The sequence below is a fragment of the Homo sapiens genome, chromosome 18, assembly GCF_000001405.40.
Source record: "Homo sapiens chromosome 18, GRCh38.p14 Primary Assembly".
NCBI lineage: Eukaryota > Metazoa > Chordata > Mammalia > Primates > Hominidae > Homo > Homo sapiens.
Genome location: NC_000018.10, coordinates 12,009,576 through 12,025,453, shown reverse-complemented (window position 1 = coordinate 12,025,453; position 15,878 = coordinate 12,009,576). Strand labels below are relative to the sequence as shown.

At 46.7% G+C, this 15,878-nt stretch overlaps 1 protein-coding gene across 2 annotated transcripts in view; it reads right to left on the bottom strand.

Moving 5' to 3' along the window:
• Positions 1–15,878, bottom strand: part of IMPA2 (inositol monophosphatase 2) — a 49,371-nt gene that overhangs the window by 5,424 nt on the left and 28,069 nt on the right. For both annotated transcript variants that reach the window (NM_014214.3, XM_011525659.4), the window contains 3 exons: positions 15,467–15,571; positions 13,239–13,284; positions 11,081–11,189 (listed from right to left, as the gene is read on the bottom strand). In NM_014214.3, coding sequence (NP_055029.1) covers positions 11,081–11,189; positions 13,239–13,284; positions 15,467–15,571 — 260 coding nt within the window. The remainder of the gene's footprint in view (positions 1–11,080; positions 11,190–13,238; positions 13,285–15,466; positions 15,572–15,878) is intronic.

The following is a 15,878-nucleotide window of genomic DNA, read 5'->3' as shown; positions in this document are numbered from 1 at the left end:
GATAGCTTGGCAGTTTCCTACAAATCTAAACATACTCTTACCATACCGTCCAGCAATCGTGCCCCTTGGTGTTCACCCAAGGAGTTGAAAACTTGTTTTCACATAAAACTTTCACACCAGTGTTAAGAGCAGATTTATTCATAACTGCCAACACTTAGAAGCAACCAAGATGTCCTTTAGTAGGTGAATAAATAAACTGTGGTACATCCAGACAGTGGAATATTATCCAGCACTTAAAGGAAATGAGAAAGCATGACAAGATACGGATGAACCTTAAATGCATATTGCTGGGTGAAAGAAGCCAATCTCAAAAGCTACACACCGTATGATTCCAACTCCATGACATTCTGGAAAAGGCAAAACTATGGAGACAGTAAAAAGATCAGTGGTTGCCAGAGGCTCAGGGGAGGGAAGAATAGGCGGAGCATGGGGGGTTTTTAGGGCAGCGAAAATATTCTATATGATACTGTAATGGTGGATGCCTTACAACACCAACAGTGAAGCCTAATGAAAACTATGAACCTTGGGTGATAATAATGTGTCTCATTTTAACAAATGCACCATTCTGTACGCGATGCTGATGGATGGGGAGGCTGTACGTGTGTGGGGACAGGAGGTGTATAGGAACTCTGTCTCTCTGCACCTTCTGCTCAATTTTGCTGTGAACCTAAAACCGTTACTCTAAAAAACAAAGTGAAAGAAAGAGGGAGGAAGGGCAGGGAGGGAGGAGGGAGGGGGAGAAAAGCAAGGGAGGAAAAGGAAAGAAGGGAAGGAGAAAAGAAAAAAATGGGATGGCTTGCATGATACTTTGGCCAGGAAAATCAAGGAAGAATGAATTGTCCCAGAGGAGGCCATGGGGGACAAGAAAGTGAAGTGGCAGTGACATCTTGTCTAATCCCACCCTATTTCTAATGTACTCATCTAACAACTTCAAGTCATACAAGTGCATACAATGCTTTTGTGTTTTTTTGAGATGGAGTCTTGCTCTGTCACTCAGCCTGCAGTGCAATGGTGCGATCTCAGCTCACTGCAACCTCTGCCTCCCAGGTTCACGCAGTTCTCTTGTCTCAGCCTCCCAAGTAGCGGGGATTACAGGTGCGCACCACCATGCCCAGCTAATTTTTGTATTTTTAGTAGAGACAGAGTTTCACCATATTGGTCAGGCTGGTCTCAAACTGCTGATCTCAGGTGATCAACCCATCTCACACAGTGCTTTTTAAAAATGATTTTATAGCTTATTCTGTTGCTCACTCTTTCAATATAAAAACATCTCATATACATCTTTTGCCATCAGTATCTTACTCTTAACAGCCGCACTCTATTCCATCTGGTGCAATAACTGCAATTTATGTCACCATTCCCCTGAAGATGAACAATTTTCATTTTTATTGTAAACAATGCTTCATAAACATCTTTTCTATAGAGGTTTATACAGTCATACTGATTTTTTTCGAGATAGATGAACACAAGTGGGATTTCTGAATCAAACGGTGTGCATATTTTAGGTTTTGATATAATTTTCCAAATTGCCCTCTGGGAAAGCTGAATCAATTATACATACGCCCCCTCAACCCTACTGGGCTATGAGGGATCCTGTACTATTTCCAAGTCCCTAACAGGCAGGCTCACCCTGGAGGTACACTCTAAGAGTGATTTTCTCTGAGCAGTAAAATCAGGACAGTGAAATCCTAACACACAGGGCACTTGCTGGCACCAGTGTTAATGACCCTGGGAAGAGATGAAGGAAGACACTGAAGATTTCTCCCCAGGAACTAGGAAGCTGAGCAATCAATTTCCATTGGGAGATAAGCACCTACTCTTAAAGGCCTCACCCAGTCTCCCCACACCTGAGGGCAGAGATGAGCACAGGGCGGGTGGGTGGAGGAAAGTCCGCCAGTGCCAGCCTAGACAGGCAGGTACTCCCCATGCCAGGGCTGGTGTAGGAAGCACAGAGATCTTCCAACCAAGTGCCCTGGGGTATTTCACAAAGGGAAGTTAATTTGTGTGCAAGAAACAGCAATTTTTCACTTGCTGACAGTGACCAGGTCCTCACTCTTCCTGACAGGCCTGTGCGAGCACTTCCCAGCCTACGTGCCACTGCCCCGTGCAACAGATGAGAAACCCAAGCTTGGAGAAGCGACATGAGCTGCTCAGGCCATGGAGCCATTACATGGTGGGGCCAGACTTACACCCAAGCTTGTCTGGTGATTGTGTGAAGGCAGGGGTTTCTTCCATAGTTTTCCTGTTTGTGAAAAGCTTGCTCTGAATCCAGCACCTTCTTCTTCTGGCCACCCTGAATTAATTCCTTCTCATTCTTGCCAACATACGTTTTCCCACATGAAATCAAGAACAGAGTATAGGCTGGGTGCAGTGGCTCATGCCTGTAATCCCAGCACTTTAGGAGGCCAAAGCAGGTAGATCATTTGAGGCCAGGAGTTCGAGACCAGCCTGGCCAACACAGGGAAACCCTGTCACTACTAAAAGTACAAAAAAAAAAAAAAAAAAAAAAAAATTAGGCAGGCGTGGTGGCACACATTTGTAATCCCAGCTACTGGAGAGGCTAAAGCACAAGAATTGCTTGAACCTGGGAGGCAGAGGTTGCAGTGAGCCAAGATCGTGCCACTGCACTCTAGCCTGGGCAACTGAGACTGGCTGTCTCAAAAAAAAAAAAGAACAGAGTATAAAGGAGGTCTGAATGTTGCCACCTAAAAGCAAAATGCTTTCTACTGTTTGATTTTGCTCCAGATAAGGGGGAAAAAACTTATGACAACCCCTACTTAATATTATCTTATGATTATTTCTGACTAGTTATCCACAATTACTATGATTTTTGTATTTTATTACCCTTTGTCCTATATTTACCATATCTTAGGTCTTAAACGCACACACACACACAAATATATATATATATATATATATATATATTCTTTTTGAGATGGAGCCCCATTCTGTCAGCAGGCTGGAGTGCAGTGGTGCGATCTTGGCTCACTGCAACCTCTGCCTCCCAGGTTCAAGCAATTCTCCTGCCTCAGCCTCCCGAATAGCTGGGATTACAGGCATGCGGCTAATTTTTTTTGTATTTTTAATAGAGACGGGGTTTCTCCATGTTGGCCAGGCTGATCTCGAACTCCTGACCTCAACTGATCCACCCACCTCGGCCTCCCAAAGTGCTAGGATTACAGGCGTGAGCCACCGGGCCCGGCCTAATGTATATCTTTTTAATTTCAAATATTCTGTGATTTCATGGGAAGCAGGGAACAGGGAGTTCTTGCTTAATAGGTGGAGTTCTTATTTGTAGGAACAAACATTTTGGAGATTATATAGTGCTGATGATTGTACAACATTGTGACTATAATTAATGTCATTGAATGGTATGCTGAAGAGTAATTAGAATGGAAAATCATATTTACATACATTTTACTACAATAAAAATATCTCATACATTTTGAAATAGGACATCTCTGTTTATTCTTTCAATAAACAGATTTTAGGATGAAAATGAATAGCCAGTGACTTCCGACAGTTTGGAAACCCTTGCTCTGGTTGAGCAATGCTAAGAGTATGCTGTCTTAGGGGAAACTTTACAACTCAAATAATGAGAGAAGTCATTTGAGTACACTGAAATACGTACTCATGAGCTGGGCGTGGTGGTTCATGCCTGTAATCCCAGCACTTTGCAAGGCTGAGGTGCGCCGATCGCTTTGAGGTCAGGACTTCAAGACCAGCCTGGGCAGCATGGCGAAGCCCCATCTCTACCAAACATACAAAAGTTAGCCAGGCATGGTGGTGTGTGCCTGTAGTTCCAGCTAGTCGGAAGGCTGGCTTTGGAGAATCACTTGAGCCCAGGAGCAGAGGGTGCCGTGAGCCGAGATCAGCCACTGCACTCCAGGCTGGGTGACGGAGTCTCAAAAAAAAGAAAAAGAAAAAAGAAATACGTACTCACAGAGTAAGAGGCAGTTGTGCTTTAAAGCCTATAAAACATGCCTGTGGCACAAGCTGGTTTTGTTGGATATATAACTTCTGTGACTACACTTTCATCAGTGTGTTGTTTTGGAGGTTTTTTCTGAGACAGGGTCTTGCTCTGTTTCCCAGGCTAGAGTGCAGTGGTGCAATCATAGCTTCTGTTACCTTGAACTTCTGTTACCTTGAACTCCCATGTCAGCCCTCTGAGTAGCTGGAACTACAGGCATGCACCACCACACCCAGCTAATTTTTAAATTTTTTGTACAGATTGGGGTCTTGCTATGTGGCCCAGGCTGGTCTCAAACTTCTGCTCTCAAGTGAACCTCCTGCCTCAGCCTCCCAAAGTGCTGGGATTACAGGTGTGAGCCATCGTGCCTCGCCTAACAAGGCCAATATTTTAATACTTCACAAAAACAATGAAGAGGGAGCTCTAGAACCATGAAACTACAAATGCTGTCTGGAGCCCCCACCCCCGCCCTCCAAGCCCCCAAAGCCCAGGAATCCAATGTCAAGTAACAGTAGGTAACCAAAAAGAACTATGGTTGAATCCCACACACAATTATCCTAAGAAAAAAAGAGTGAGGAGCAGAGTAACATGTATATGCCAATAAAAGAATTTTGCCAAAAAAAAGAAATCTAACCACAAAATAGGAGTAATAAAGAATATCAGGAAAAAAGAGCATAATCCAAATCACAGGTCACAGAACTTAGGAAAAATTACATAAAGGAAATATTTCAGAAAAGAAGACAAACTAAAAGGAACATAATGAATAAACACAAGAGATTATGCTTTGCAGGAAATTGAGGGTGAAAAAGAGGAAACTTTTTTAAATAAGATAATTGGTGGAAAAGATAAAAAGAGTACAAGAGGAAATGATAGTGAAAGCCCAACATACATTCAAGTCCCAGAAGACAAAAAACAAAGCAACACAATTGGGAAATAAAAAAAATATTAAAAACTGTAATTCAAGAAAACTCTTCTACAATTTAAAAAAAGAGGCCAGTCACAGTGGCTCATGCCTATAATCCCAGCACTTTGGGAGGCCGAGGCGGGCAGATCACCTGAGATCGGGAGTTCGAGACCAGCCTGACCAACATAGAGAAACACCATCTCTACTAAAAATACCAAATTAGCCAGACATGGTGGTGCATGCCTGTAATTCCAGCTACTTGGGAGGCTGAAGCAGGAGAATCACTTAAACCCAGGAGGTGGAGGTTGCAGTGAGCTGAAATCTCACCACTGCACTCCAGCCTGGGCAACAAGAGCGAAACTCCATTTCAATCAATCAATCAATCAATCAATCAATCAATAAATAAAGGCCGAGTGTGGTGGCTCATACCTGTAATCCCAGCACTTGAGGCCGAAGCGTGTGGATCACCTGAGGTCAGGAGTTTGAGACAAGCCTGGCCAACATGGTGAAATCCTGTCTTTACTAAAAGTACAAAAACTAGCTGGGCATGGTGGTGCATGCCTGTAATCCTAGCTACTCAGGAGACTGAGGCAGGAGAATTGCTTAAACCTGGAAGGTGGAGTTTGCAGTAAACCGAGATTGTGCCACTACACTCCGGACTGGGCAACAGAGCAAGACTGTCTCAAAAATATATATATTTTTTTATTTTTTTGAAAAATCGTATCTAACACTGTAAGCCTGACAACTTTCCAACACTTCAAGAGCTCTCCTGAGGAGTGGTGATATTAATATGACATTTTTAGTATTTTATTAAAAACTACATCAGCACTTAGAAGCGCTGAAAATCTCAGTGAAACCATTTCCCAAACGACCAATACATGATGTTATAAAATCAACAATGAACAAAAGATCCATTCAAAGTACAAGATAGCCCAATGGATTTCAATGTAACTGAGTACCAACAAATCCACTAGATTTCACACTGCAACTAACCTTTAAGAAATCTCTACTTGGCCAGGCGCGGTGGCTCACACCTGTAATTACAGAACTTTGGGAGGCTGAGGTGGGTGGATCACTTCAGGTCAGGAGTTTGAGACCAGCCTGGCCAACACGGTGAAACCTGATCTCTACTAAAAATACAAAAAAAAAAAAAAAAAAATTAGCCGGACATGGGGTGCGTGCCTATAATTCCAGCTACTCCGGAAGCTGAGGTGGGAGAATCACTGGAACCTGGGAGGCAGGGGTTGCAGTGAGCCAGGATCACACCATTGCACCCCAGCCTGGGCAACAGAGTGAGACTCCATCTCAAAAACAAAAAAAATTGCTACTTTTTGAGTTTTGGTTTGATATCAAACAAAAATGCCCTCAGTTATCTGAAAAGAGATTTAAAACACTTCTCCTTTTTTAAACTACGTATCTATGTGAGGTTAGACATTTTTTAAGACATCAAAAACAGGCTGGGTTGGTGGCTCACACCTGTAATTCCAGCACTTTGAGACGCTGAGGTGGGAGGATGGCTTGAGGCCAGGAATTCGAGACCAGCCTGGGAAACCTATCGAGACCCTGTCTCTACAAAAATATTTTTTAAATTATCCGGGCATGGTGGTGAGCACCTGTAGTCCTAGCTACTTGGGAGGCTGAGGTGGGAGGATCATTCGGGCCCTGGAGTTGGGGCTGCATTGAGCTACGATCACACCATTGCACTCCAGTGTGGTCAACAGAACAAGACTGTCTCTAAAAAATAATAATAATAATAAAAGACACCAAAACAACTTATTATAACAGATTGAATGCAGAAGCAGATATGAGAATCTAGTTGTCTTACATTAAGCCAGACATAAAGAAATTTGGAAAAAATGTAAAACTATCCCACTCTCCTCACTAAAGCTTTCTTATTTTGGAAAATATGATTAGTTCCCATAAAAATATATTATTCACGTTAAAATGTAATGAATTTTTAATCTTAAAATGAATTAATAAATGTTTTAAAGGCCTTCAGTAATTTTTTTAGGAGTATGAATGGGTTTGTCCTAAGATCAAAAAGCTTTAAAAATGCTATACTAGAGAATGTACTTCACACAACCAGAATGACTGGAGAAGCATCAGCACACAGGACAGTGGTGGCGTTAAATCTGTACCCACCTGTGGAACCATGACTGAATGATGGCTTTGAGGTGAGAGCGTGGCACACAGTGGCTGGGTGCTATCCCAATGAGGATGCAGCACAACCATCCAGAGGTGGACAGGTGACAGAGAGAGGACATGACCCATAGAACAAGCTTGTCAACTGTTACTGAGAGCAAAGGTTATCTTTTTATTTTTTTAAGAGATGGGGTTGAGGCCGGGTGTGGTGGCTCATGCCTGTAATCCCAATACTTTGGGAGGCCCGGGCGGGTGGATCACCTGAGGTCAGGAGTTCAAGACCAGCCTGGCCAACATGACAAAACCCTGTCTCCACTAAAAATACAAAAATTAGCTGGGCATGGTGGCATGCGCCTGTAATCCCAGCTACTTGGGAGGCTTAGGAGGAAAATCACTTGAACCAGGGAGGCGGAGGTTGCAGTGAGCCGAGATCGCCCCATTGCACTCCAGCCTGGGCAACAAGAGTGAAACTCCATCTCAGAAAAAAAAAAACAGAAAAAAAAAAACCCAGTATAACTCATTATCGACTCTATATTTTAAAAATATGGTCAGGTGCAGTGGCTCACAACTGTAACCCCAGCACTTTCGGAGGCCGAGGCAAAAGGCTCACTTGAGGTCAGCAGTTTGAGACCAGCCTGGCCAACATGGTGAAACCCCGTCTCTACTAAAAAATACAAAAAAATTAGCCAGATGTGGTGGCGCATGCCTGTAGTCCCAGCTACTCAGGAGGATGAGGCAGGAGAATTGCTTGAACCTAGGATGTGGAGGCTGCAGTGAGCCAAGACTGCACCACCGCACTCCAGCCTGGGTGACAGAGTGAGATCCTGTTTCAAAAAACAAAACAAAACAAATAAAAAATACGTACTTCCTAGCACAGTCCAGTGAAAAGGCAACAAAGACTGACCCAGGAACAGGAAGTCCCCCCAGAACGCAGACTATGACCTTAGGAGGCCACTTTCCATAAAAACGAGACAATTGGAAATTTGAACACTGATGGGATTATTTGCTGATTTTAGGGATGCATTTTGGGTAGAGAGTGATATTGATGATGTGATTGTATTTGTAAGAGAGCAGTCTGTTTTTGGAGACACGCTGAAGTACTGACTAGGAAGTGACCTGATGCCTGGGATTGGCTCCAGGCAGCTGGGGGTGGCGGGAGCTGGTGGACACACACGAAGCAGGCGTGCTGCCATGTGAGGGGTCATGGGGCATCATTTTGCTTTTTCTGTGTACTTTGTGTATGTCTGAAATTTGCATGGTAGAATTTGAAGAAGCAGCTAATAAAATTCTTGCCTTCTTCTAATCCTTTACCTCTATCCAGTGCTGTTTTTTAACTTGTGAGTTGAAGATATTCCAGCAAGGCATAATAGAAATAAGAAAGGGGAAGCCAAGGGAAGCAGAAAGAGAGAGGGAGAAAGAGAGAGAGATTAGTGGTGCTTGTTTTAATGACTGTGTCCTCCAGAAACAAGTCCTAATTTTAACAACGGGGCATGACTTGATTGGTTTTGTGCAAAGATTCAAGTTTCTTCTTTGATAATGGTTCTCATTTTAGGATACTGTGCCCCAGGCACTATGCTGGGTGCTTTATATGCGTAACTTATTTAATCCTCTCGGTTATTTTTATTATCATCAGCATCCCCGTTTTCAATATGAGGACTGAGATTCAGAGAGGTTAAGGAACTTGCTCGAGTTCTAGTCACCTTAGAAAGTGGCAGAATCGGCCAGGTGTGGTGGCTCACACCTGTAAGCCCAACACTCTGGGAGGCCGAGGCGGGTGGATCACTTGAGGTCAGGAGTTTGAGACCAGCCTGGCCAACATGGTGAAACCCCGTCTCTACTAAAAATACAAAATTAGTCAGGTGTGGTGGTGCGCACCTGTAATCCCAGCTGCTTGGGAGGCAGAAGAATCACTTGAACCCAGGAGGTGGAGGTTGCAGTGAGCCAAGATTGTGCCACTGCACTCCAGCCTGGGTGACAGAGCAAGACTCCATCTCAGAAAAAAAAAAAAAAAAGCGGCAGAATCAGGATCTGAAATTGGGTCTGCATGGTGCCAAGAGACCGTGCTGCTGAAGAGCATGCACTGTCACCTCCTGAAGTCCATCTACCCATAGGAAAGAAAACAACCATGGTAGAAAACACGTGGAACCGCCTGTCCTGAATGGGCCAGTTTAGGTTTTCACTGATTCTTTTTGGCCTTTCTCCCATATGGAGGAATTTGGTGATATTTTATAGCATTGTGAGACAGGTACTGTAGGGAACAGAAGAATACCAGACAAATGAGAGAAGCCTCAGACTAGCAGCAGCTATCTGCTATGCATTTTATCCATCAGAATTTTTCTAAAGTCACAAATGAGTTTCAGAACATGAGCACTTCATGTTTCCTTCATTCTACGAAATTACCAGGCCTACTGGGGGCCACATAAAGGGGCCCTGGACAAAGCCCTTGCCCTAGTGGAGTTGGTGCTTGAGCTAGCAGCCTGCAGGCTGGGAGGACGCAGAGTTGCAGCCTGACTGAGCTACACGGGCGGGCAGCCAGGATGCCAAGAGCATGTTAATAGAGTTCAGTGTTATAATCCAGTGAAATATAGAGCAAAGTTCACCCGAGCATGCTTAGTAGCATGCTTCCTCACCACCAGTTACACAATGAGGCTGGAGTGGGCACCTCCTGGCACGCACAGCTGTAATTAAAGCTACTTTTTTCACTGCCAAACAAAACACTTCTGGAGAGGGAAGGTGAGGCAGGGCCAGAGGCCATTCCAAGGCCTCTCTGGGATCAGAAGCTCTAACTGGTGAGTCCAACTGCTGGTTGCCCCTCAGAGGCCCCCATGACTTCTCCCTTCCCCTGCTCTGGGCTCTCCTGCAGCCACCTCCTCTCCTTTGCACAATCTTGCCCTTCGTGTCCCTCACACAGTGGCGGGCCCTCTCCTGACACCTCATCCATCCTGGCCCGCCACTTTCCTGGCCGCACGGGCTCACAGCAGCAGAGATGGGCCATGGCCATAGCTCCTCTCGCTGCCTCGAAGGCCATCTGGGCACACAGGCATCAGCCAGGGAGGAAAGAAGTAGGAATAAATAGAGACAATGAAGAAAGGTTGCCAGGAAAGGAATTTTTAAGAGAGGCTGGAAGTGGGTCAAGAGGGGAGGCGGCAGGGAGGCTGATGGGAGAGCAGAAGAAAGAGTGTAACTGGCAGGGAATGAGATGGGGGGCCCTGCATGATGTCCACGCCAGAGACACACAAGGCAGAAACAAGCAGCAGTGCACTTCCGCCTTTTCAAACCCAGACATGCAGGTATTATGGAGCTTGTAAAATCTCCCATGCAGCTGCTGCTAGTCTGAGGCTTCTCTCATTTGTCTGGCATTCTTCTGTTCCCTACAGTACCTGTCTCACAATGCAGTTAAAATATCACCAGATTCATCCATGTGGGAGAAAGGCCGAAAAGAATCAGTGAAAACCTAAACTGGCCCATTCAGGACAGGCGGTTCCAGGCAGTATGCAGGGAATGGGAACCCCTCTCTCAGAGCCACTGGATGACCCTGAGATTCTGGGCTAAGGAAATCACGGCAGGCCATAACTGCAGAGGGGCTAAGGTGCCTCTTCACATGACTCATTCCCCAGGATGGCTCTTCTCACAGAAGCTGAAGCCAGTTACTGTTGTGCACACTCAGGGGCCACAGACTGCACCTGGGCAGCAGTGCCTGGGCAAAATCGGGACCACCGAGGTGTGCCGGGTGCTCTGAGGGGAACAAGCACCTGGCCTCGGGCTGCTCACCCAATCCCACTACAACCAAATCGTGACTGCGACTGGAGTACTTTTAGCCTGAAAGATGAGGGATGTGAGCGCAAAGCAGAATGAGGTTATTTAAAGCTCCTGGCCACGTGAACAAAAACACTAACATACAGAACTGGCTCCATTTCCAGTTCATCAGGGACACGATGTCCCTAAAAAGAGATGACACCATCAGCAAGGGACCTCCACCACCGTCCCACATCATGGTGGCTTTGGCATTCTCCTTTCACACTTTTATTTCAGAAGTAAACTGAGACGAGCGTTGTGAAGCCCACCTGTCTCCCCGGAGACCCGGAGCCGCTGGCCATTGCAGAAGGCGCCCCGACCCCGCCGGCCCGTGTACAGCCGCTCCTCTGTGCAGTGGTAAATCACTCCGAATTCAAGCTGTGGGCGGCAGAGGCAGGACAGAAAACAAAGATGGTTCACTCGTTTGATGTGGGAAAAAACATTGTTATTCAAAGATGAAGGCTGCGCTAGGCGTTAGGATAACACATTACACTGTGACAGAAATTACCTTTCCAAAAGGAACTGAGAAAAAGCAGTGCCTGCATTTAAAATGAGACCTGGACATAAAAGCAAGCTTGCTTTTGCTAAATAAGTACAATTTTAAAATATATTCAGACAAACAAAACTTTAAAAATTAACATCATAATCAAGTATTAGTAACCAGAAGTTATTGAAAAAGCTTAATTTTTTAGAAAGGCCCCTTTTGTTGCTGAAAAAAAGAATGTTACTTGTGACTCTAACCAAACCCCACAAGAAATCCTCAAAATTGCTGATGTGTGAAGAATGGAGAATGCATCTGTAAAGCCAGCGGAATCTCAGAAGCCCAAGGACAGCCCCAGCGAGGAAGAGGCACCGCCGCAGACTGGGGACTGATCCGTGAGCAGGCAGTGCGCTGAACAGTGGCCCGACTGCCCCACATCAGGGAACAAAGCATCAGACCACAGCCTCCCAGGATGAAGCAGCAAAAGGAAGAGGTCAGCGTGGAAAAGGACGGCAGCCCACGGCCGCGTGCCTCTGTGATCTTTCCTCTACCGACTTTTCACCACTCAGGGTTAACAAGGGCCAGCATGCTTGCTTAGCAAGTTAGCCAAGTGTTCACCTCTCTGGAAAATTAAAAAAACACCCTGGCCAAATGCCTTAGGAAAGCCTTGGCTGGCCCTGGGGTGAGCACAAACACCCTAGAGTGGACACCCCAAGCTACAGAGAAAGGGTTTATTTCTGGCGGTTGGAGGCGTCATTCAGTCAACGCTTTTTCAGAGCCTGCAGGTGTCTGGCAGCATTTCATCATCCTTCCCCTTCCGGTACCCTGGCTTTAAAGGAATCCTCATGACCAGGTCAGTCCTAGAATTCGGCTGGTTCCTGAGGCCTGTGAAGAGCTCCCAGAGTGCAGAGGAATGTCCCCCACTCCCATGGGGAGGAGCCCACCACGAAAAGCCAGGAGCTCCCGTATTCAGTGTAGTAACATAGGACAGACCCTAGCCAACCCACAGAAGGGCCAAGGACCTAGCCAGCTGTTCCAGCAGCCCCTTCACACAGTCACAGAACATCAATCAACCCCTGAAGTACTGCTCAGCCTCCCACCCACTCTGGGCACCACAATATTATTTAACAGAGAAAGACGTCAATCATTGCATCCTTAGACAAATTACAGTATTACAATTCTTACTTATCTTCAGCTTAAGTACTTTGAGATACTTTAGTACTTAACTTTAAATACTTCAACTTAAGTACTTCTCTCAGCTCCCCTGCCAGGGAGTCTGTGCTGAGACTAAGGTGAAGCTGCACAAATGCTGCTCTGAAGCAGGGCTGCTTTTGAGAAACATGCAGCCCTCGGCCCTATTTAAATAAAACTGTTTCAATTAGAAAGAAATTAAGGCTCTTCTCAGTGCTGCTGCTTGAATTATTTAATAAGCTTTAAACCTCAGCCCCACGCCTTCCATGCAGGTCGCACAACACTGTGTAGTTCAGAAGGTCTATGGGAACCATGAAAGAGCTATGTTCTCATGCTAATAACCAGAGGAAGATAAGAAAGAATTATTAGAATATTGGGATTGAGGATGCTCTCCAAAACTAAGTGCTCCTTTTAGTTTGTGAGATCACACGCTCTAGGGGTCAGCTGGAGATGCACTTGGACCGTTCACTTAAGACTTCCGCTTCCACAGCAGTGTCACAAATAGACCACGGTTGACACGAGGCCAGCCCTCCACGGGGGACAAGGGCCAGCCACGGAGCCCCACCCCGCACACCCCAAAGCCAGTCTGGACTTGTTTATTTTCTCGGATTTGAAACCCACAGGCTTGGATTTGCCAGTCATGATTAAGGCACAGGGCAAACAGCAAACCAGGCGCACAGAGGCTGAAGCCAGAAAGGAAGGATGGCCAGAGGGAGCCCAGGGAGGGGCCCTGGGGACCTGGGCCACACCCGCACCTCTTGTCGAACAGCAAATCCAATGCTAACCGCCACAGTCGGGAATCTGCAAAGGAAAATAGAAAGGTTTACTCTCTGGAACAAGAGCGGCAGCTCTCGGGAGCCTGTGTGCTGTGCGGCTCCCCGCAGGCTCAGAAGGACCTTCCTACACTCTGGGTGGGTTGGTTGTTTAAAAACTACTTCCCACAGTTTCACTAACTGCTTCCAAGACAAACAGAATAAACTGACCATGTCGTAAGACAGTTAACCTTGAAAGAAAACAGCACTGTGAAAGTCACATAAGACTGATGTAACTCAACAACCCTCTGAAGCCCAATTAGGAAGGATCTCAATCATCTGTTTTCTGGTTCTCCAGACCTAAAGGGACAGCAGAGCCCTCCCCAAAGGCCAGACCCAGTCCCAGGTGGGGCGCCAGGCAGGTGGTCCCAGAAGGCACCACAGCCTCCCCATGGGGGCCAGTTCTGAGCCACAGCTCACCCTGTGGCACTGCTAGCATCCCTGCCTGAGTGCCCAGTAGCCAGCTGCAGGGACAGCCACGGCTGCAGACAGTTTTCATGATCAGTTTGCCTGCAGTTTTGTGATTCTGCTATTGCCGCTCAATATCTTCAAAATAATCCTTCCTTTATAGGGAGATCACTGGAGCTTAAAAACAGGCAGGAAAGGCTGGGTACTGCAAACTGACAGGAAAAATGCAAAACCAATTGTACACAAATGCAACTCTGACTGCCAGGGTGTGTGGGACCTTGGGATGAGCCGCTGGCTTCCAGAGCAAATGCACCATGTGCCAGGCCTCACGCTTGTTCCAGTGCCCAGGAGAGCTTTCTCCCACTGCTGTGGCCCAGCACTGGTGGGCACAGGGGTGAACAGGCGCCATCTGAGTGGCAGATGCTGGTGGCTTTCGGATGTCTTCAGACCACAACAATCACCACAGCTATAGCGTGGGGTTCAGGAACTGTCAGGATCAGCTCTGGAGACTGTTCTGAAATTGCTGCTCTTTTCCCAGTCACCTCCCCAGTACCAGGATCCCCCCAGGGGTGCAGACAGGAAAGCACTGGAAACTATGTCTCTGGAGCCACTGAAGACCCTCGAATGGACGTGTGGCCTTCACCATGTGACGGGGCTTCACCTGCCATGTCACCATTATGAGCACCCTGGAACCACGAGCAGGCAGAAGTAATGAGGCTCCACTCAGTGACATACTCTGGGGAGGAGAGCCCTGGGAAGGATCATGCTTTAGTTGAAATGAGAGGAGAGATTGGTGACACATTTGCTGGCACCAGATGGCACGACTCCACTGCCTCGAAAGGGTCACCTTATGTAGGCACAACTGAATTCTCGAGGCAACTCACCTAGAAAAAGGCTGTGCTTAGCATGGAATAACTTCATGTTTTACATATAAACATGCCATCAGAGGCAGATCATAAAGGAGCCCACACCCGGGCTCTGCTCACCCTTCCTGCTTAGCGCGTGCAGCCTAGTGTGCTGGCGTGCACTGTGAGCGCAGGAGCTGCAAGCCACCCGCCCATGGAATGGGAATCTCTCCAGGGTTCTCCAGAGCTGGAGAACCACGCTCCGTTTAAGCCACATCATGCTCTGTGCCCCAGGCCCCCAGCCACCTGTGCGTGTAGACAGGCAGCGCAGCACCATCACCTGCCACTGCCAGAGAACACCTGTGGTCGTGTCCCTGTCACCTTTGCATCCTGTCACTTCACCATCCCCGAAGCTCCATTCCCTTCACCTCCCCACACGGGCCCTTCTGACCTCCCCAAACCTCCTGCTTTTTGTAACCACAAGGTTTGCTCTCATACAGGAAGCTGGCTCTCAAGTCTCACCTGTCACAGGCCACTCTCTACACCTTGGGCTCCGGGCCACTGTGGGGCAGCACAGGCTTTGTATCCCAACCTCACCTTTTTCTCCAGTGGGGGTGGGGTGTGAGGGGAGTCAGACTCCTTCAAGGGGTCCTTGTTAAATGCAACCCAACATTTTTAACATAACAAACTGGTTTTTAAACAAGTGCAGATTTCCTAACATACTCCAAGAGCCTCTCACAAACGGAAAACCTTATTTTAAAAATATCAAGATCTGATCATCTTTCTGATGAGACTATGAGTGTACTATAGGTTTGTTTATATATTCCTGCCTTAAAAAATGCTGCTTTTGAAAAGACAAAACCTCACAGAAGAGGACATGTTAAGCCCTGCAATGGAGGCGATCCCTGCTCAGCTCACCTGTGCACAAAATTGCAGGTGCCGTCGATGGGGTCGATGATCCACGTCGGGCTGTGGGTGAGCACACACTTGGCCCCAGAAGCCGCGGCCTCTTCTGCAATGAACCTGCAGTGGAAGAACCCAGCCTGAGAAAATGCACCAAGGACACAGAATAACGTGCCTGAAATTGCTTCCAGTCCCATTAAAGAAAAAGGTGGCACAGCAAACAGATGTCATCATGGTTTCTCTGGGTCAAACAGAGGCAGAGTCTTTAAACAACCATGTGCTTTTTGACCTGCCTGCCAGCGGACCTACTCAGCAGGATTTAGAAAACAGAGTGACACCTCAGTGCCAGCGTTCAGAAAGAGCACCAGGGAATTCCAGCAGGCCAGGCAGAGAAATGCAAGCGTGAAGAACACTGGAAAACAGATCT